General features: G+C 51.9%; 2 protein-coding genes and 1 pseudogene across 5 annotated transcripts in view, besides 8 other annotated features; 1 reads left to right on the top strand and 2 right to left on the bottom strand.

Moving 5' to 3' along the window:
• Positions 10–99: an enhancer, noted in NCBI's record as "active region_681". NCBI's record gives its function as "activates an Ori minimal core promoter by ATAC-STARR-seq in GM12878 lymphoblastoid cells {active_cell/tissue: GM12878}" and the evidence as "EXISTENCE:reporter gene assay evidence [ECO:0000049][PMID:35858748]".
• Positions 150–359: an enhancer, noted in NCBI's record as "active region_680". NCBI's record gives its function as "activates an Ori minimal core promoter by ATAC-STARR-seq in GM12878 lymphoblastoid cells {active_cell/tissue: GM12878}" and the evidence as "EXISTENCE:reporter gene assay evidence [ECO:0000049][PMID:35858748]".
• Positions 550–759: an enhancer, noted in NCBI's record as "active region_679". NCBI's record gives its function as "activates an Ori minimal core promoter by ATAC-STARR-seq in GM12878 lymphoblastoid cells {active_cell/tissue: GM12878}" and the evidence as "EXISTENCE:reporter gene assay evidence [ECO:0000049][PMID:35858748]".
• FAM167B (family with sequence similarity 167 member B) lies at positions 1,771–3,405 on the bottom strand. The gene is made up of 2 exons (NM_032648.3): positions 2,945–3,405; positions 1,771–2,256 (listed from the first exon to the last, which is right to left on the bottom strand). Exons 1-2 carry the CDS (start codon positions 3,203–3,205, stop codon positions 2,026–2,028), a joined length of 492 nt encoding a protein of 163 aa, NP_116037.2. The 5' UTR covers positions 3,206–3,405; the 3' UTR covers positions 1,771–2,025.
• Positions 1,988–2,147: an enhancer, noted in NCBI's record as "active region_678". NCBI's record gives its function as "activates an Ori minimal core promoter by ATAC-STARR-seq in GM12878 lymphoblastoid cells {active_cell/tissue: GM12878}" and the evidence as "EXISTENCE:reporter gene assay evidence [ECO:0000049][PMID:35858748]".
• Positions 8,805–9,114: an enhancer, noted in NCBI's record as "active region_677". NCBI's record gives its function as "activates an Ori minimal core promoter by ATAC-STARR-seq in GM12878 lymphoblastoid cells {active_cell/tissue: GM12878}" and the evidence as "EXISTENCE:reporter gene assay evidence [ECO:0000049][PMID:35858748]".
• Positions 8,917–18,967, top strand: MTMR9LP (myotubularin related protein 9 like, pseudogene; annotated as a pseudogene). Its single transcript, NR_026850.1, has 7 exons — positions 8,917–9,490; positions 9,963–10,758; positions 11,202–11,332; positions 15,417–15,675; positions 15,813–15,923; positions 18,443–18,585; positions 18,658–18,967. The product of NR_026850.1 is annotated as a myotubularin related protein 9 like, pseudogene (transcript).
• Positions 9,255–9,404: a silencer, noted in NCBI's record as "silent region_586". NCBI's record gives its function as "represses an Ori minimal core promoter by ATAC-STARR-seq in GM12878 lymphoblastoid cells {active_cell/tissue: GM12878}" and the evidence as "EXISTENCE:reporter gene assay evidence [ECO:0000049][PMID:35858748]".
• Positions 9,525–9,574: an enhancer, noted in NCBI's record as "active region_676". NCBI's record gives its function as "activates an Ori minimal core promoter by ATAC-STARR-seq in GM12878 lymphoblastoid cells {active_cell/tissue: GM12878}" and the evidence as "EXISTENCE:reporter gene assay evidence [ECO:0000049][PMID:35858748]".
• EIF3I (eukaryotic translation initiation factor 3 subunit I) overlaps positions 14,457–20,892 on the bottom strand; it is a 13,764-nt gene continuing 7,328 nt past the window's right edge. For 2 of the 3 annotated variants that reach the window (NM_003757.4, XM_024450518.2), the window contains 2 exons: positions 19,608–19,700; positions 19,023–19,512 (listed from right to left, as the gene is read on the bottom strand). In NM_003757.4, the coding sequence (NP_003748.1) occupies positions 19,431–19,512; positions 19,608–19,700 (175 nt within the window). In that variant the 3' untranslated portion in view covers positions 19,023–19,430. Of the gene's footprint in view, positions 15,617–16,077; positions 16,204–19,022; positions 19,513–19,607; positions 19,701–20,892 lie in introns of those variants that run through there. The other variant, NM_001394168.1, reaches the window with a different exon arrangement.
• Positions 17,358–17,858: an enhancer, noted in NCBI's record as "H3K27ac hESC enhancer chr1:32698370-32698870 (GRCh37/hg19 assembly coordinates)". NCBI's record gives its function as "activates a minimal SCP1, AML or CMV promoter by ChIP-STARR-seq in primed H9 embryonic stem cells {active_cell/tissue: H9 hESC(primed)}" and the evidence as "EXISTENCE:reporter gene assay evidence [ECO:0000049][PMID:30033119]".

Below are 20,892 nucleotides of genomic sequence, written 5' to 3'. Positions count from 1 at the left end.
AGAGGGCATAGTAACGGCCCCTGCTGTAGTCAGAGGCCAGGACAACACCCATTAATCATGGTTGGAGAGTAGGGCAACAGTTCGAATTCAGGTAGAGGCAAGGCCACAGCCCCTGGCAGAGGTGGAGGGCTTGGCACTATCTCCTGCAACAGGTGGAAGACAGAGCAAACAGGGCCGCTCAGGCCCCCAGGTGCAGGCCACAGACTGTCAGGACTTTCTGTTATAAGCAGGAGGCAAGAAGATTGTCACGAGCAGCAGGCAGGCAAAGAATTTCCATTTCCCCTGGGGCCAGGCTGAGGGGGCACCCATCATTAGCTGAGGGCCAGGTCACCAGTGATATGAGGAACTCCAGGTGGCCTCATCAGGTCCAAGAACTCGGCCTTGACCCCACCAGGAGGAAAGTGCACATGCGTCACTGCCTGAGTGAGCTGGTAGGGGGAGGGGAACCCACAGAGCATTGTTGGGGCTTGTGAGGTGGAAGCGATGCTGTGTGCACCTCAGCTGCAGAGAGAAGTGGGGGCAGGAAATAGGTGGGGGGAAGAGGAAGCCTGAGTTGGAAAGTCAGACAAAGAGGGTAACACAGAAACAAAGGCTGAGAGAGACAAAGTGAAAAACCTTCACAGTGACACAGAGCCTAGAGTTGGAGCTCCAAGCCTGGTGCAGGGCCCAGACTCCCTTGCAATGTAAGCCTGAACACTTCACGGTCCATCTCCCTGTCTCAGCACAGAGTAGAAAGACTGCCGCGCTGGGAGTGAGTAATAGTTCATATTCACTGAGCGCTCACTGTGCACTATCTCCCGTAAGGCACATCTGCTGCCTGTGGAGTGAGAATCAGCATCTCCATTGTGGAGGTGAGGAAACAGACTCAGGGGTTAAGGGAGCTCCTCAGGGTCGAATAGAAATAAACGGTGGCTCAGGCCTGTAATCCTAGCACTTTGGAAACCCCAGGCAGGTGGATCACTTGAGGTCAGGAGTTTGAGACCAGCCTGGCCAACATGCTGAAACCCTGTCTCTATTAAAAATACAAAAATTAGCCGGGCATGGTGGCGGGTGCCTATAATCCCAGCTACTCGGGAGGCTGAGGCAGGAGAATCGCTTGAAATCGGAAGGTGGAGGTTGCAGTGAGCCAAGATCGCGCCACTACTCCAGCCTGGGCGAAAGAGTGAAATTCCATCTCAAAAAAAAGAAAAAAAAAAGAAAAGAAAAGAAAGGAAATTAGCTAGGCGAGGTGGTGGCCACCTGTAATCCCAGCTACTTGGGAGGCTGAGGCAGGAGAATCGCTTGAAATCAGAAGGTGGAGGTTGCAGTGAGCCAAGATCGCGCCACTACTCCAGCCTGGGCGAAAGAGTGAAATTCCATCTCAAAAAAAAGAAAAAAAAAGAAAAGAAAAGAAAGGAAATTAGCCAGGCGAGGTGGTGGCCGCCTGTAATCCCAGCTACTTGGGAGGCTGAGGCAGGAGAATCGCTTGATCCCCGGAGGCGGAGGTTGCAGTGAGCTGAGATTGTGCTACTGCATTCCAGCCTGGGTGACAGAGTGAGACTCTGCCTCAAAAAAAAAAAAAAAAAAAGAAGCAGAAGAAATAACAACAACAAAAAGAAATAAACGGGGTAGCTGGCTTTGAACCCATGTCTCTCAGATTCTGCATTCTTCAGGAGCCCAATTTACCTAAGTCACCTCCCATGGGCCTGCAGTGAACTAGGGTGGTCCCAGTGACAGGCGACATTCAGATAGCGGCCTTGGGCCTGAATAAACGACTGCAAGAGACCTTGATGGGAACCAGAGAAAGCGTTTATTGAGGAGTTTGAGGGTGTGAGCTCCTCCTCCTCCCCCTCCCAGCTGGGTCAGCAGAGGAAACAGGATGCTGGGGTTTTGCACTCTTGGAATTCAGCTCTCAGAAACCTGAATGTTCCTCCTCCCCCGCCAGGAGCTGGTGCCTCTGGGGCACCCCTCCCTTTCCTCTTCCCAGGCAGGCAGGGGAAGCGGCATTGGGAGAGGGGGCGGGGAGTCGGGGGGCACAGGTGTTCCTCAGCAGAGGGTGAAGCGCCGGGCGCTGATGTTCATGCGCGTGAGGCCCAGGTGCCGCAGCAGCGGGGCCAGGGCTAGGCCGGCCCCGGGCTCCAGCTCCAGCTCCAGCTCGGCCTCATCCAGCAGCTCCTGGTGCAGGTGACAGGCTTGGTCCATCTTCAGTCGGTGCAGCTGGGCCCGCAGCCGCAGCAGCTGCCCTGCCAGCTGCCTGTCCTGCGCCTGCATCTCCCGCTGCGGCCGAGAGGGGGCGTGAGCCTACTGGACAGGCCCTCGGCCGCGCGCCGTTTCTCCCTTCCTGGCAACGCTGGGCCTTTGCACTGACTGTGTCCTCCCCAGCCCCCTCTCACCTCAGCTTGATCTCTCCCTATCTCCCAATCTGGCTTCACCTGGTGGTTCTCAAACCCAGCTAAGGAGTCATTATTAAGCAAATCCAACTGCCTGGGCCCCATCCCAAATCAACTAAGCAGAATCTCTGTGTTGGAGCCTGGGTATCTTTATATTTGCACATGTTGAGTTGGGAGCCACCTACTGAAACTTCACCTCTTCAGAATCTGCCTGCAGCATGGCCAGTGCCTCCTTTTGCACTTCGCTGTATCTTTAGGCCATAGAAAGTCCCAGAGTAGGGGAGGCTGTGTATTTCCCTATTTATAATGGTGCCCCACACCCCCCAACACCAGTGCTCTGTCCCCTAAGCAACAGGAGCACAAGGTCAGTAGATTGGATGGAATCCTTCTTCAGCAAGCCTCCCTGAATACAACACTGGACAAGTCCATTCCCGGCTCCTCAGCCCAGGACACCGGAGCGGGCGGTTGCTGGAGGCAGGGTCCATTCTCATCCCTTCCCCATGCCTGTGGTCTTGGACCCTAAGGAGGACCAGCCTGAAGGCCCTGGGCAAAGCTGCCCACCCCACCAGACTCACCAGCTCCCGTCGGAGCCACTCAAGGGCGGAGTCCATTGAGTCGAAACCACAGATGTCCCCAGGTCCCCCTGGTCCAGGTTTGGCTTGGGCCCTGCGCCAGGCCTGGCTCTGGACCTGGGCTGTCCACTCCAGATATGAGGGCCGCCGAGTCTGCAGCTGCAGCTTGGCTGTCAGTGCCTTCACAGAGTCCAGGCTCTCCCCCTCCTCATCCTCCTCGTCCTCTTCACCCACTGCCTGGAATTTCAGTAGCCCCAGGGACATGGCAGGTTTGAGGTGAGTGACAGGGCAGGGCTGCAGCTCTGAGATTAGGGAAAGGCTGGCAGTATTGCCCAGGGAGAGGTGGCAGAAGTTGAGGGTGAGAAGAGCGTGCCAGGGAGTGTGTGGTGGTCAATGTTCAAGGTGGGTTAGGGGGGCTGAATGTGCCAGGGTGAGTGAGCAGATGGGTGTGTGAGGCCAAGTATGCAAGGGCTGGAATTTTCCTGGACTGCTAACTTGGGAGCCACGTGATGCCCATCTGGGTGGGGGCCGGAGGAACCCTGCTCCTCTGGCCCTTTGGATGAATTTTATTGTCTTTGCCCAGAAGGAGACACCCAATTCCCAGAAAGGAAGTTGCTCCAGGATGAGAAAAGCATCATTCATACCAGAGTCTTGGCCCTCCTCCCAAGACTCATGTTAAGGGAGCTGAGATCAGGAAGGAGGCTGCCTAGCCACCCCTTGTCCTTACTCGTGACACCAGCCCTTCAGGAAAGGACTAGCCTCCAGGGCCCTGGCCTGGGAGTCAGGAGACCTGAGTTCTAGTGCTGGCTCTGCAGAACCTTGGGCAAGTCACTGACCTTCTCAGAGCTCTGTTGGGACAGATGAAGGATTTCAAGCTAATACTCTAAGGAGCCCTCAAGGGCTGCCTGCAGGAGAAGGACAGAGCTGTGGATGGGCTCCTTGCCTTCCATCTCCCTGCCCCTCCCAGGGCTTCAACCAGAGCAGTTCCCTTTTTTAAACTTTGTTTTCAAACATAACATACACACAGAAGGACAGGTGCAGTGGCTCACGCCTGTAATCCCTGCACTTTGGGAAGCCGAGGTGGGCGGATCACGAAGTCAGGAGTTTAAGACCATCCTGGCTAACACGGTGAAACCCCGTCTCTACTAAAAATACAAAAAATTAGCCGAGTGTGGTAGCATGCATCTGTAGTCCCAGCTACTTGGGAGGCTGAGGCAAGAGAATCGCTTGAACCCGGGAGGCAGAGGTTGCAGTGAGCCGAGATCGAGCCATTGCATTCCAGCCTGGGTGACAAAGCAAGACTCTGTCAAAAGAAAGAAAGAAGGAAAGAGAGAGAGAGAGAGAGAGAAGGGAGGGAGGGAGGAAGGAAGGAAGGAAGGAAGGAAGGGGAAAGAAGTGTAACATACACACAGAAAAACTGTACATATCATAAATGCATGGAGACACGGTGGCTCACGCCTGTAATCCCAACATTTTGGGAGGCTGAGGCGGGCAGATCACCTGAGGTCAGGAGTTTAAGACCAGCCTGGCCAACATGGTGAAACCCTATCTCTACTAAAAATACAAAATGAGCTGGGCGTGGTGGTGCATGCCTGTAATCCCAGCTACCCAGGAGGATGAGGCAGGAGAATCACTGGAGCCTGGAGGCGGAGGTTGCAGTGAGCCAAGATCACACCACTGCACTCTAGCCTGGGCAAAAAGAGCGAAACTCCATCTCAAAAAATAAGTAAATAAGTAAATAAATGAATGTATGGCTCGATGAATTCTCCCAAACTGAACACATCCATGTAACCAGCACCCAGATCAAGCAACAGAGTATTACCAGCACCCAGGAACCGCTGTTAGCCTCCCATGTGCTCCTGGCCTGTCACTAATCTAAGGGTAACACCACCCTCATTCTAACAGCATAGTTTTCTCTGTTTATATGCCTTCTAGTGGTTCACAAACTTTAGCATGCATCAGAATCACCTAGAAAGCTTGCTAAGATGGCTAGGCCCCACCACCCAGAGTTTCAGATTCAGTATGTATGGGGTGGGGCCTGGTAATCTGCATTTCTACCAAATTCCCATCCCAGCTGCTGCTGCTGGTCTGGAATTTTACAATTTATGCTTTTTTTTTTTTTCGAGACAGGGTCTTGCTTTGTTGCCAGGCTGGAGTGCAGTGGTGGGATTACAGCTCACTGCAACCTTGAACTCTTGGACTCAGGTGATTCTCTTGCTTGACCTCCTCAGTAGCTGGGACTTACAGGGCCAAGACCCCACACCCAGCTAATTTTTTTTTTTTTTAAGTTTTTGATAGAGATGAGGTCTTCCTCTGTTGCTCATAATGGTTTTGAACTCAGCCAGGCGCGGTGGTTCACGCCTGTAATCCCAGCACTTTGGGAGGCCAAGGTGGGTGGATCACGAGGTCAGGAGATCGAGACCATCCTGGCTAACATGGTGAAACCCCATCTCTACTAAAAAAATACAAAAAAATTAGCTGGGCATGGTGGCAGGCACCTGTAGTCCCAGCTACTTGGGAGGCTGAGGCAGGAGAATGGCGTGAACCCGGGAGGCGGAGCTTGCAGTGAGCCGAGATTGCGCCACTGCACTCCAGCCTGGGCAACAGAGTGAGACTCCGTCTCGCCGGGCGCGGTGGCTCACGCCTGTAATCCCAGCACTTTGGGAGGCCGAGGCGGGCGGATCACGAGGTCAGGAGATCGAGACTCCGTCTCAAAAAAATAAATAAATAAATAACAGGATTGAAAGAGGATGAGAAAGAAAAAAAAATTAGGGCATGGTGGCACATGCCTGTGCCCAACTACCTGGGAGACTGAGATGGAAGGATTGCTTGAGCCCAGAAGGGCAAAGCTGCTGCAGTGAGCCCTGATCACATCACTACACTCCAGGCCTGGGTGACAGAGGCCGACCTGTCTCAAAATAAAAAATTAAAAAAAGGCTTCTGTATCTATGAAGTACCATTGTTTTATTCCTTTATTCTTTTTTTCTTTTCTTCTCTTTTTTTTTTTTTTTTTTTTTTGAGAGAAGTCTCACTCATCCCCCAGGTTTGAGTGCAATGGCTCAATCTCGGCTCATTGCAACCTCCGCCTCCCGGGTTCAAAAGATTCTCCTGCCTCTGCCTCCCAAGTAGCTGGGATTAAGTTGCCTGCCACCACTAATTTTTGTATATTTTAGTAGAGACGGGGTTTCGCCATGTTGGCCAGGCTGGTTTCGAACTCCTGACCTCAAGTGATCCACCCACCTCAGCCTCCCAAAGTGCTGGGATTACAGGCGTGAGCCACTGCGCCCAGCCTATTCTTTTCTTTTTTATTTTTTTGAGACGGAGTCTCACTTTGTCGCCCAGGCTGGAGTGCAGTGGTGCAATCTAGGCTTACTGCAAGCTCCACCTCCTGGGTTCATGCCATTCTCCTGCCTCAGCCTCCCAAGTAGCTGGGACTACAGGTGCCTGCCACCATGCCCCGCTAATTTTTTTGTATTTTTAGTAGAGACAGGGTTTCACCGTGTCAGCCAGGATGGTCTTGATCTCTTGACCTCGTGATCCGCTCTTCTTGGCCTCCCAAAGTGCTGGGATTACAGGTGTGAGCCACCGTGCCCGGCCTCTTTTTTTTTTTTTTTTTTTTTTAATGAGACGGGGTCTCACTCTGTCACCCAAGCTGGAGTGCAGTGGTGCAATCTCAGCTCACTGCAACCCCCACCTCCCAGGCTCAAGTGATCCTCCCACCTCAGCCTCCCAAGTAGCTGGGACCACAGGCCCATGCCACACCTGGCTAATTTTTTGTGTTTTTGGTAGAGTTGGGGTTTCACCATGTTGCCCAGGCTGGTCTCAAACTCCTGGGCTCAAGTGATCCTCCTGCCTCGGTCTCCCAAAGTGCTAGGATTATGGCCATGAGCCACCACTCCTCTCCCTATTCCTCTATTCTTTTTCTTTCTTTTTTCTTTTCTTTTTTTTTTTTTTTTTGATACAAGTCTCACTCTATTGCCCAAGCTAGAGTGCAGTGGCGTGATCTCAGCTCACTGCAACATCCACCTCCTGGGTTCAAGCAATTCTCCTGCCTCAGCCTCCCAAGTAGCTAGGACTACAGGTGCGAGCCACCATGCCTGACAAATTTTTCTATTTTTAGTAGAGACAGGGTTTCACCATATTGGCCACGCTGGTCTTGAACTCCTGACCTCAAGTGATCCGCCTGCCTTGGACTCCCAAAGTGCTGGGATTACAGGAGTGAGCCAACTCGCTTGGCTTTTTTTTTTTTTTTTTTTTTTGAGGCAGAGTCTTGCTCTGTTGCCCAGGCTAGAGTGCAGTGGTGCGATCTCAGCTCACTGCAGCCTCCGTTTCTCGGGTTCAAGGGACTCTCCTGCCTCAGCTTCCCGAGTAGCTGGGACTACAAGCACATACCACCATGCCTGGCTAATTTTTGTATTTTTAGTAGAGACCAGATTTAGCCATGTTGGCCAGGCTGTTCTTGAACTTCTGGCCTCAAGGTATCCACCCACCTCAGCCTCCCAAAGGGTTGGGATTACAGGGGTAAGCCACCGCACCCAGCCCTATTCCTTTATTCTCAATTAAAAAGAAAGAAAGAAAATAAATAAATAAATAAATAAATAAAATAAGCTGGGCATGGTGGCTCATGCCTGTAATCCCAGCACTTTGGGAGGCCATGCAGCAGGAGCATTGCTTGAGGCTTGGAGTTGAAGACCAGCCTGGGCAAAACAGGGAGACCCCCATCTCCACAAAAATATTTACAAAAGAAAAAGAAGACGGATGGATGAATAGATGGGTCCTGTGGTAAATCAGCTCAGCTCTCGTCCTGCAATTTTACCAGCTTAATTGTGTCTCTTGCCAGACTGAAAACCCTGTGAACAGAATCTTCCCCAGTCATCCCTGGGCCCCAGCACCAAACACAGGGCCCAGCTAACTCACTGTACAGGTAATACACACTTGCTGAAACGATGGTGGATAGCTGATGGGGTTCTTGAGGTCTGGACTCAGCCAGAAGTGGGCTGCACAGAGGGCGCCCTCAGGCAGGGACTTCCAGCTGCGAGGTCGAGGAGGGACGCCAGCTACACAGCTGCAGCATTTAAGGTGGACCAAAGGATTTCCCCAACCCAAGTTTCTTATGTATGGGAGGAAGTAGGCAGTTCCCAGTTTCACACCCACTTTCCAGCCCTTCCACCAGGGTATGGTGGAAGAGATAGTTATCTTTCTTCCTTTCCTTCCTTCCTTCCTTCCTTCTTTCTTTCCTTCCTTCCTTCCTTCCCTCCCTCCCTCCTTCCTTCCTTTCTTCTTTCTTTTCTCTTTTTTGACGGAGTTTGCTCTTGTTGCCCAGGCTGGAGTGCAATGGCGCTATCTCATCTCACTGCAACCTTGGTCTCCTGGGTTCAAGCGATTCTCCTGCCTCAGCCTCCCGAGTAGCTGGGATTACAGGTGCACGCCACCATGCCTAGTTAGTTTTGTATTTTTAGTGGAGACGGGGTTTCATTATGTTGGCCACGATGGTCTCGATCTCCTGACCTCGTGATCGGCCCGCCTCGGCCTCCCAAAGTGCTGGGATTACAGGTGTGAGCCACCACGCCTGGCCAATTTTTTGTATTTTTAGTAGAAACAGGGTTTCACCATGTTAGCCAGGGTGGTCTCGAACTCCTGACCTCAGGTGATCCGCCCCGCCTCGGTCTCCCAAAGTGTTGGGATTACAGGCCTGAGCCACTGCGCCCAGTCTTTCTTTCTTTTTAAAGTTAGCAGTAGTGCTAGCACCTCAGGGCTTGAAAAAACAAAAATACAAAAATATTGAGTGTCTCCTGCAACCCAGGCACAGGGTTAAGGACTTTAGGCAAGATTATTCTCCCCATTTCACAGACGATGACATGGAGATTTGCTTATAACAGTCTCTGGCCAGGGACCTCGCTAAGAAATATTGGCAATATGAGGGGAAATTCCTGTGAAACTGTGATCCTTTCCTCTGAGGGGCCTCCTTAACAGCTGTCCAGACGGCGTCGCCAGCTGCCCAGGCAGTTCCTATCCCTTTCGGAGCTCCAGCCTGCCCCTCCTGACGCTCTCAGAGTCTGGCCTTCTGCTGGGCCCCGGGTCTCTCACTGGCAGAATGGAGTTCTCGGAGCTGATCCATACGGGCTGAGCCCAAGCAGAGTTTCTACGGGGCCCGGAGGCGCCCCCGCTTCGCGGCACGGTGTGAGTCACCGTCCACCACCTGCTCCTGTCGCCAGGGCCCGCGTCCTCTCCGGACCTGTGGCTGCTGCTGTTGCGTAGCGTCGACTCCTTCGAGAAGCAGTGAGACGTGGCGGGGTGGGGGAGGGTCCCCGGGGTTGGGGAGCGCGCGGCTTGGCGGAGTAGGGGGCACGGCCAGCGCAGTCAGAGCTGGCGCCCTCCTGCGTAAGCCCAATCCGGGAAACTCGTTGCCCCTCTCCTGGGAAAGGAACGTCCCTCCCCAGGGTTGCGAGTGACTCGGGCACCATCACCCTGTGCTGTAAAGACCTGCGAGTGCTGCAGCTGGAAATAGAGGGCGCGGAAGCGACGCTGGGCATCGCCCGCTCCATCGAGGTGTGCCGAGGGAGCTCCCGAGCCCTTTAAGCTCTCCCTGTCTCGCGTAGAGGGGAATAAAAAGGTGCTTCTGTTCAAAGAGGCTCCGCAGCCGCAGCTAAATGGCAGGGGGATGCAGGGTGGTCCGGGGTACTTGGAGAGGCCGAAGCTGAAGCTACAGGACTGAGGGGCTGGAAAGGGCGCGGGCGAGACAATTCCGACCCTCCCCAGAGCCCCTGACTTCCTTCTCCGGACGCTGTCCTCCCTGGAATCAGTCATCACCTCCTTCCCTTTATTCTACCGTCCCAAGGGCCTGAGATTGGGCGACTCCTGGCACTTCCTCCCGCCCGAACTCTACTGCAAGAGAGTAGCTCGCGAAGTGGGCGCGGTCGTAGGGGCCCGGGAAGGTGGAAGCGCCGGGCCTGGAAGAGGCGCGGGGACAGGGCACTCCCTGGGTGCCCTAGACCTGGCCTCTCTCCTCCCTGCGCTGCAGACCAACGCGTGGCGGCTGAGCGAGGTGAACGAGGACTTCAGCTTGTGCCCCAGATACCCCCGTGCGGTGATCGTGCCATACTTGGTGGACGATGATGCCCTGGCGCGCAGCGCCCGCTTCCGTCAGGGAGGTCGCTTCCCGGTGCTCAGCTACCACCCGGCTCCCAGCGGCAGAGGGAGCGCGCCCTCCCCACGCTCCGCCCCTGGGTGGCTGCGTCCTTTCTGGGCCTTTTCTTTTTGGCCCGGTCAATTCGCGGCGTAGCCGCTGCCCCAACTCCTGCCCCATTCTGGTCCCGCCCCTCTCCCGCCTTTTCGCTGGGAAGGGTATCACCTTTCTCTGGCCCCGCCCCTGACGGTTCCGGGCCCCGCGAAGCTTAGTCCCTTCTTTGTCAAGCCAGGACCCGCCCACGGTCTATTCATAGGGTCCCAAACCACTTTGGCCACAACACCCCCAGACTGGTCCGAAGCCTCGTGAGTTCGCCCTGGTCGTTGCACTCCAGCCTGTCGCTGTGCAGACCTGGCTTAGAGGACCCCTAAGGCTGAGGGGTCACTTCCAGAACTGAGTCCGGTCCGCAGGTTCTGCTACGCTCCAGCCAGCCCCTAACTGGTCCCCAGAAGCGGCGCTGCTACAGGGACCAGGAGCTGCTGCGAACTGCGCTGGCGGGGGCTCGTCCTTGGGCGCGGGGCTTCATCATGGACACGCTCTCGGCCCAGGCCGCGAAACAAGCCCGCGTGACTGGCGGAGGCACAGAGACCAAGGCCGCTTAACCTGGCTGGTTGCACTGGTCCCTGGAGAGGTAAGGGGCCTCCCACCCTCTCCCAGGCCCTCTCCTGCAGGGCTCTGTGAATGTACATGTGTGTGAGTATGTGTTGGCGGGAGGCGGGGGGTCCTCCAGGAACCTTGAAGACTCAAGCCTTTCCTGGTGTCATCCCTCCACATGAGCAACCCCACTTGCACACCACCACTGAGAGAGCTCCTTACTCTTTAGGCACCCCAACTTTGCCTGGGAAGAAAAAGCACCTCTTTACATTAAACTGAAATTTGTCTTCCCGGAACAACCTCCCTGCACACACGCACCCCCTCCCTGAGGGCTGCACCTGCACAGATGTGATCTGTTCCCTCTGTCTCCAGGCGATGGCAGTGCCAAGAAGAGGTCCTGAGGGAGTTTTGTGTTTTGAGGAGAGTAGACTGCTTCCCTATCCAAAATACAAAGCTCTGTTTATTCATTTATTTACCCAGCACTGAGCACAGGGGCTGCCACAGTGGCCGGCTCAGACATGGCAGAGATCAGCAGAGAATGGGCAATCAGGCTCCCCTGAGATGAGCAGCAGCGCAGAGGAGGTGCCCCTCTCTTACTACACCAACTTCAGGTAATCAGAGGTTTCCTTGAGAATAGGATGCTTTAGCTGAGACCCAAAAATGGAGGAGTGAGCCAGAAGAAGAAAGACCCTGCATGTGGAGGGAATTGCAAGTGTCCAGGTGCAGAGACAGCCTGGTCATTTGTCCTGTTTGGGGAACTGCCAAGTACAGTAGTCCCCCCTTATCCTCGGGAAGTATGTTCCAAGATCCCCAGTGAATGCCTGAAGCCTCAGATAGTACCAAACCCTACAGACAGTATGTTTTTCCATACCTATGATAAAGTTTAATTTATTTTATTATTTTTATTTATTTTATTTTATTTTTTTGAGACAAGAGTCTCGCTCTGTCACCCAAGCTGGAGTGCAGTGGCGCTATCTTGGCTCACTGCAACCTCCTCCTCCCAGGTTCAAGTGATTCTCCTGCCTCAGCTTCCCAAATAGCCGGGATTACAGGCACCTGCCACCACGCCCAGCTAATTTTTTTTTTTTTTTTGTATTTTATCTTATTTTATTTTATCATAATAATTATTTTTTAAGATGGAGTCTTGCTTTGTTTCCCAGGCTGGAGTGCAGTAGCGTGATCTTGGCTCTCTGCAACCTCCATTTCCTGGGTTCAAGTAACTCTCCCATCTCAGCCTCCCAAGTAGCTGGGACTACATGCACGTGCCACCATGCCTGGCTAATTTTCTTTTCTGTATTTTATTTTATTTTATTATTTTTTGAGACAGAGTCTCACTCTGTCGCCCAGGCTGGAGTGTGATGGTGCGATCTCAGCTCCCTGCAACCTCTGCCTCCCAGATGCAAGCAATTCTCATACCTCAGCCTCCCAAGTAGTTGGGACTACAGGAGCCTGCCACCATGCCCAGCTAATTTTTTTTTTGTATTTTATTTTATTATTATTATTTTTGAGATAGAATCTCTCTTTGTTGCCCAGTCTGGAGTGCAGTGGTGTGATCTTGGCTCACTGCAACCTCCATTCCCCGGGTTCAAGTGATTCTCTCGCCTCAGTCTCCTGAGTAGCTGGGACTACAGGCGCGTGCCACCAGGCCCGGCTAATTTTTGTATTTTTAGCAGAGATGGGGTTTTGCCATGTTGGCCAGGCTAGTCTGGAACTCCTCACCTCAAGTGGTCTGCCCATCTCAGCCTCCCAAAGTGTTGGGATTACAGGCATGAGCCACCACGCCCAGCCTTTTTTTTGTATTTTAGCAGAGATGGGGTTTCATCATGTCACTCAGGGTGGTCTTGAACTCCTGAGCTCGGGCAATCCACCTGCTTCAGTCTCCCAAAGTACTAGGATTACAAGCGTGAGCCACTGCATCCAGCCAAGTTTAATTTATACAGTAAGCACAACAATAACTAATAATAAAGTAGAACAATTACAATAATATGCTATAATAAAAGTTGTATAGGTCAGGTGCTGAGGTAAAAGATAGGTATTTTTGGAGATTTAGAAGATTGTGGCTGGGCACAGTGACTTATGCCTGTCATCTCAGCACTTTGGCAGGCTGAGGAGGGTGGATCCCTTGAGCCCAAGAGTTTGAGACCAGCCTGGGCAACATAGGGAGACCCTGTCTCTGTACAAAATACAAAAATTGGCTGGGTGTGGTGGCTCATGCTGGTAATCCCAGCATTTTGGGAGGCTGAGGCGGGAAGATCACCTGAGGTCAGGAGTTTGAGACCAGCCTGACCAACATGGAGAAACGCCGTCTCTACTAAAAATACAAAATTAGCCGGGCGTGATGGCACATGCCTTTAATCCCAGCTACTCAGGAGACTGAGGCAGGAGAATCGCTTGAACCTGAAAGGCAGAGGTTGCAGTGAGCTGAGATAGCACCATTGCACTCCAGCCTAGGCAACAAGAATGAAACTCCATCTCAAAAAAAAAAAAAAAAAAAAATTAGCTACATGTGGTGGTGCACACCTGTAGTCCCAGCTTCTCAAGAGGCTGAGGTGGATGGCTTGAGCCTGGGAGGCAGAGGTTGCAGTGAGCTGTAATTGTGCCACTGCACTCCAGCCTGGGTGAGAGCAAGATCCTGTCCCAAAATTAGCCAGGCATGGTGGTGTGCTCCTGTAGGCCCAGCTACTCAAGAGGCTGAGGTGGGAGATCACTGGAGCCCCGGGAGGTGGAGGCTGCAGTGAACTGTAATCACACCACTGCACTCGAGGCTGGCTGACAGAATGAGACCCTGTCTCAAAAAAAAAAACAAAAAAAAAATGGCCGGGTGCGGTGGCTCATGCCTGTAATCCTGGCACTTTGGGAGACCAAGGCGGGTGGATCACCTGAGGTCAGGAGTTCGAGACTAGCCTGGCTAACATGGTGAAACCCCACTTCTACTAAAAATACAAAAAATTAGCCAGGTGTGGTGCGGGCCTGTAATCCCAGCTATTTGGGAGGCTGAGGCAGGAGAATCGCTTGAAACTGGGAGGTGGAGGTTGCAGTGAGCCGAGATCACGCCATTACACTCCAGCTTGGGCAACAAGAGTGAAACTCCAAAAAAAAAAAGTTGTATGAGGCCGGGCATGGTAGCTCACGCCTGTAATCCCAGCACTTTGGGAGGCCGAGCTAGGTGGGTCACGAGGTCAGGAGATCGAGACCATCCTGGCTAACATGGTGAAACCCTGTCTCTACTAAAAATACAAAAAAAATTAGCCAGGTGTGGTGACGGGCTCCTGTAGTCCCAGCTACTCAGGAGGCTGAGGCAGGAGAATCGCTTGAACCCAGGAGGCAGAGGTTGCAGTGAGCTGAGATTGCGCCACTGCACTCCAGCCTGGGTGACCTAGAGTGAGACTCAATCTAAAAAAAATAAACAGTTGTATGAATGTGATCTCTTTCTTAAAATATCTTATTGTACTATACTCACCCTTCTTGTGATGATGTGAGATGCTTAAATGCCCATGTGATGAGATGTGGTGAATGACATAGGCCTTGTAATGCAGCCTTAGGCTCCTACTGACCTTGAACACAAGCCCACTGCAGTACTGCCACAGTCACTCTGATAACCAAGACAGCTACTAAGTGACTAATGGGCAGACAGTGTGTGCAGCATGGATATGCTGGACAAAGGGATGACTCCTATCCAGCGAGACAGAGCAGGGTGACTCAAGATTTCGTCACAACATTCAGAAGGGCTTACAATTTAAAACTTATGAATTGTTTATTTCTGGAATTTTCCATTTAATATTTTCAGGCCACAGTTGACCATGGGTAACTGAAACCTCAGAAAGTGAAACCATGGATGGGGTCAACTAATGTCCTTTGGTATGGTGGGAGTGTCGAGTATGAAATGGGAGGACAGATGAGGCTACAGATAAGCTTAGACTTTATCCTCAAGGCAGTGGGCAGCCACTGAAGGCTTTTAAACAGAGCTGAGAAGTCGCTGTTAGATTTTCTGGCAGGAGGTCACCAGTAACCTTGAACAGAGCAGTTTCTGGGAGGTAGGAGCAGATGCAGAATTCCAAGAGAACTGTGTTTTTCTTGTCAGACCGGGGCTCCCCAGGGAATGCTATGTTGCTCCCATCAGACTGGTGTACATCAAGGGTGTTGTGATACTTCCATCAAATTGGTGGTTTCCCAGGACATTGTGTGTTTCCCCAGAGGGCTATGTGACCCTTCCCCAGGTACTTTCTCAAAGGGTCTTGAGTCTCTCCCATCAGACTGAGGAATCCTCAAAGCTAAGAAACCATTTTAGGCTGGGCGCGGTGGCTCATGCCTGTAATCCCAGCACTTTGGGAGGCCGAGGTGGGCGGATCACAAGGTCAGGAGTCCGAGACCATTCTGGCCAACATGGTGAAACCTAACAATGCAAAAACTAGCTGGGTGTGGTGGCGGTCGCCTGTAGTCCCAGCTACTCTGGAGGCTGAGGCAGAAGAATCACTTAAACCCGGGAGGCGGAGGTTGCAGTGAGCTGAGATCGCACCACTGCACTCCAGCCTGGAGACAGAGCAAGATTCCGTCTCAAAAAAAAAAAAAAACCATTTCATGGACAGAACGAGACGCTGTCTCAAAGATTAGGAACTCCTCTGTGGGTCGTGTGTGCCGTGAGACTGGACTCCCTAAAGGGCTCTGTGTCCCTTTTATCAGATGGGCTCTTTACAGGATTCTGTGTCTCCCTCATTGGTCTTGAGCACTTGCTCCCTGGCTGTACTTGGCAAGGGCTTGAGCTGGAAAAGATGACCAGACTCCCACCGCCCAGAGGGCGTCCCCTGCAGGAGAGCTTCATGCGCCTGGTGGAGGCCTGTGGGGACTCGGAGCAAAGCATGGACAACTGGCTGAGTCGGCTGGACGGCTGCCGCTGACTGTAACATGTAAAGCAGGCACTGAGCACCACCTGCCTGGCAGTCCAGGGCATGGAGAGGTAAGGCCCCATTGACATAGAGAATAGGGTGAGATGGGCAGGGCTCTCAACCCCTGGATGCAAAACTGTGATTCAGTAAGCAAATATAGCCTAGAACTGGGTCCATTCTATTCCTGGCCTGGTACATGGGGCTGAAGGCACAGACAGCACCCTGCTTGTGACTTCACTGGCCCAACTCATCCTGGACCCCTTGAGCAAGACCATGGCTGGATTCCAGGAACTGGTGGAGTGGAAGTGGATCCAGGAAAGTAAGTGACCACCCAACCCCAGCCTTACCCTCCATCCAGAAACTTGCTTCCTCGTGCCCATTGCTCTGCCCCCTCCCCAGGCCAGCCACCCCTTCCAGCTGCGCTGTGCCCATTCAGCCTTCTCCCATGCCCACCCCAAGCATGAGGCACCCACCTTTCTCCTCTTCCTGGACTGCGTGTGGCAGCTGGGCTGCCGGTTCCCACTGTCATTGGAGTTTGGGGAAGGGCTACTGTTGGCGCTGTTTGGGCACGCCTATGCCTCCTCTTTTGGCACCTTCCTCTGCAACAGCGAAAAGGAGAGGTGAGCTGAGGGGGTGTTGAGGTAGCTTAGGGGCAGGCACAGGAAAGGGTTGGATACCTGTGCCATCAGTGCCTTACTTCCTTTTTTTTTTTTTTTTTGAGATGAAGTCTCGCTCTGTCACCTGTCGCCTGGTCTGGAGCGCAGTGGCACGATCTGGGCTCACTGCAACCTTTGCCTCCCTGGTTCAAGCTATTCTCCAGCCTCAGCCTCCCGAGTAGCTGGGATTACAGGAATGTGCCACCACGTCCGGCTAATTTTTATACTTTTAGTATAGATGGAGTTTCACCATATTGGCCAGTCTGATCTCAAACTCCTGACCTCAGGTGATCTGCCCACCTCGGCCTCCTAAAGTGCTGGGATTACAAGCGTGAGTCACTCCGCCCAGCCAGCACCTTACTTCCTTAGGAGCCATCTTTCCCGAATTCAAGTGGGTTTGTCTTTTAGGAAAACTGAGTGTTCTCCTTGCCCCACCTCCAAATCTCATACTTCCTCCTAACTTCTGCAAACCCAGAGATAAATAGGTCCAAGGCCAATCCTTTAGACAGACCTACTCTGTCCATAGCCAATTGCAAGTGAACCCCTACCTTGAAAACAAGGATTAAAGGGGAAATTTGCTGCAAAAATAATTTATAAGGCTCTCTACCACTTTGCAAGGTCGATTGTTTCAAAGCAATAGAACAGAGGTTGAAAGCAGAGTGGAATCATTTGGGCTCAAATTCCAGTTTCACCACTCACCTGCTGGGTGTTCATAGCAAACCCGTCTGAGTCTCAATCTCATCGGTAGCATGAAGGGGATAAGAGCAGCCATAATCTGGCCGGGCGCGGTGGCTCACGCCTGTAATCCCAGCACTTTGGGAGCTGAGGCAGGCAGGTCACCTGAGATCAGGAGTTTGAGACCAGCCTGGCCAACATGGTAAAACCCCATCTCTACTAAAAATACAAAAAATTAGGCCTGGCACGGTGGCTCACACCTGTAATCCCAGCACTTTGGGAGGCTGAGGTGGGCAGATCACAAGGTCAGGAGATCGAGACCACCCTGGCTAACATGGTGAAACCCCCTGCCTACTAAAAATACAAAAAATTAGCCGGGCATGTTGGCACCCGCCTGTAGTCCCAGCTACTCAGGTGGCTGAGGCAGGAGAATCACTTGAACCTGGGAGTCAGAGGTTGCAGTAAGCCAAGATCCCACCACTGCACTCCAGCCTAGGTGTCAGAGCAAGACTCCATCTCAAAAAAATATAATTAGCCGGGCGTGTTGGCACATGCCTGTAATCCCAGCCACTTGGGAAGCTAAGGCATGAGAATTGCTTGCACCTGGGAAGCAGAGGTTGCAGTGAGCCGAGATCATGCCATTGCATTCCAGCCTAGGCAACAGGGTGGGACTCCATTAAATAAATAAATAAATAAATAAGTAAATAAAAGAAGTGGTATTTTTATTATTTGGTTGGCTTGTTGCATATGCTGCCTATCAGTCCCAGATGCCAGCTGTCTTATGAGATTGAGAGATGCGGGGAGGGAGGGTTCACCTTTCCAGGGTGAAGATCAGATTTAGTTATCTTCTGTTGCTCAGTCTTCCTCTATACCCCATCCTGCTTCACTAACCCCACTAGTCCTGGATCATCTCTATTTACCTCCCTCTCCCCCATCCTTCATCTTTAGTCTTTCTCCTAAAATTGTCTGAGTTTGGTCCTCCCTTGCCAGAAGGCCCTCCCCCCGTCTTCATCCACACTGGTCTCTTCCATCTGGACTCTCCGGCAGCCGCCTCACTGTTCTCTGCATCTTCATTGTTATCAATTTTCTTTCAAAAGCTCCTGGGTCCAGACCTATCAATATTCACAGTGGGCCCTTTCCCGCCTTCTTTCTTTGGCTCATGCCGTTCTCCCCATGTTGGCTGTTGCTTTGCACAGTGGGTATGCTAGGTCTGTTGAGACTCAGCTCAAACATCACATTCTTAATTAGCCTTCTCTGACATTGAGGCAAAACTAAATTGGTTTCTCCCTTTAAATAGAACTCCTTAAGAAGTAGGACTTTGTCTTGTTCCCCTTTTATTCTAGTGCCTAGTACAAGATCTGACTAGCAATAATGTTTGCAAGAAAAAGGAGAAAAGTAAAGGTTATCACTGCTCCAAAGTGGCTGTCACCCTACTAACCAGGGCTGCCCACCCAGACTCCCAGAGGGCATACCTGGGGCTGGAAACTCACTCCCTGCCTTTCTGCAGATGCCGTGTGAAGGGAGGACTCAGATGCACTCCCTGTGGTCTGGGCTCAACCAGCCAAAAGAGCAACAAAGACTCCAGAACCCACTCTACCTCCTCAATCCCTTGGCCATCTGTGGAGCCCCAGAGCCTGCGGCTGTGGCAAGGTGAGCTCCACACCTTCTCCCCTGGGTATTACCCCTCTGCTCAGCGTCCTGACCTGTCTTCCTCCTCCTCAGGCCTGTTTCTGCGCTGGACCTGCTCACCTGAGCCTGCAGAAGCTGCATGGGGGAAGAGTGTGGCAAATAGTGACAGGAAGGGAGAAGACAGAAGCCTCTCAGCCAACTGCTTCAGCCGAGCCCCTATTCTAAGCACTGGCTCCTTGGATAGCAGCTGAGATGTTCCTGAAACCTCTGCAGGCCCCTTAGGACCTTTACACCTTGGATGAGGGTGCCTGCAACCCAGGTTAGCCAAAAGTACTGAGGGTCTTAAGTTTGAAGTGTCCAAAGTATAGGGAGGTCTCAATAATAAAAGTCTCCATGATCAGCATCAGCTTGCTGGGGTGTCAGTGAAAAGGAAAAATGATGAAACAGACACCACAAAATATCTGACCAGAAGCCATTTATTACCAAACCAATTTATTTCTTAGAGTTCAAAACCTTCTGTGAGAATCTTCTCTGGCCTGGTTGGAGATCCACCTTCTTCTTTTTTTTTTTTGAGACGGAGTTTTGCTCTTGTGGCTCAGGATGGAGTGCAATGACGTGATCTCAGCTCACTGCAACCTCTGCCTCCTGGGTTCAAGTGATTCTCCTGCCTCAGCCTCCTGAGTAGCTGGGACTATAGGCGTGTGCCACCATGCCTGGCTAATTTTTGTATTTTTAGTAGAGACGAGGTTTCTCCATGTTGGTCAGGCTGGTCTTAAACTCCTGACCTCAGGTGATCCGCCTGCCTTAAAAAAAAAGTGGTGGGATTACAGGCATGAGCCACCACGCCCGGCAGGAGATCCAGCTTCTTAAGCCTCAAACTCAAATTCGAAGTACTGTGGGTCGAAGTAATGGATACGGACGTAACCATCTTCGCCGCCGCTGCTGTAGCTGGAAAAAGATAGCCAGGCACCAGTCAGGTGCTTACTCTGGGAAAGGCAGAGACCCAACCCAGGCTTAGGTCAGCTGCTTCACTGGTACCCTACCTCTTGCCATCAGGATGGAAGGCAACACTGTTGATAGGTCCAAAGTGACCCTTGACTCTTCCAAACTCTTCTTCAAAGGCCAAATGGAAGAACCTGGAGGAAAAGGGACACAATTAATTCACTTTCTATCTTCTTCCAAAACACTTTGGAGGTGGCACTCCCCAAATGCAAATTGTTATTATTATTTATTTATTTTGAGATGGAGTCTTACTCTGTCACCCAGGGTGGAGTACAGTGGCGCAATCTCGGTTCACTGGAACCTCCCCCTCCTGGGTTCAAGCAATTCTCCTGCCTCAGCCTCCTGAGTGGTTGGGATTACAGATGCCTGGCTAATTTTTGTATTTTTAGTAGAGATGGGGTTTCACCATGTTGGCCAGGCTGGTTACGAACTCCTGGCCTCAAGCCGCCTTCCTTAGCCTCCCAATGTGCTGGGATTACAGGCATGAGCCACCACACCTGGCCTCAAATGCAAATTGTATCACAAAAAATAAAGCAGAAGCCGAGGCGCAGTGGCTCACGCCTGTAATCCCAACACTTTGGGAGGCCGAGGCGGGTGGATCACTTGAGGCCAGGAGTTTGAGACCAGCCTGGCCAACATCTCTACTAAAAATACAAAAAGCAGCCAGGGACGGTGGCCATGTACCTGTAATCCCAGCTACTCAGAAGCTGAGGTAGAAGGATCGCTTGAGCCCAGGAGGTTGCGGTGAGCAGAGATGGTGCCACTGCACTCCAGCCTGGGCAACAGAGTGAGACCCTGTCTCAAAAAATAATAATAATAAAGCAGAAAAATTGAGATAAGAAGTGAATGTGAACAAAATAAGATGGAAATTGGTGGCTGCGTGCCATGGTTCACGCCTGTAATCCCAGCACTTTGGGAGGCTGAGGACAGAGGATTGCTTGAGCCCAGGAGTTCGAGGCCAGCCTGGGCAACATAGTGAGACCCTGTCTCTTACTTTTTTAACTTTTTTATTATATGGGGAAGACTGGACCCAGATGTCTGCCTGAATACATAACTAATACTTATAGAGTGCCTACTATGTGCTGGGCAGTGCTTAAAGAGCTTAATAAATATTAACTGAATAATTTAATCTGCATAATTTTATGTTAAGTATATTGTCATTGTCTCATTATACAGTAGAGGAAATTTAGACATAGAGAAATATAATGAAGGCTGGGCACAGTGGCTCATGCCTGTAATCCCAGCACTCTGGAAGGCCAAGGTGGGCGGATTACTTAAGGCCAGGAGTTCAAGACCAGCCTGGCAAACATGGTGAAATCCTGTCTC

Source organism: Homo sapiens, chromosome 1 (assembly GCF_000001405.40).
Source record: "Homo sapiens chromosome 1, GRCh38.p14 Primary Assembly".
Classification (NCBI taxonomy): domain Eukaryota; kingdom Metazoa; phylum Chordata; class Mammalia; order Primates; family Hominidae; genus Homo; species Homo sapiens.
The sequence above is the reverse complement of the archived record's forward strand: the minus strand, read 5'-3'. Positions and strand labels throughout refer to the sequence as shown.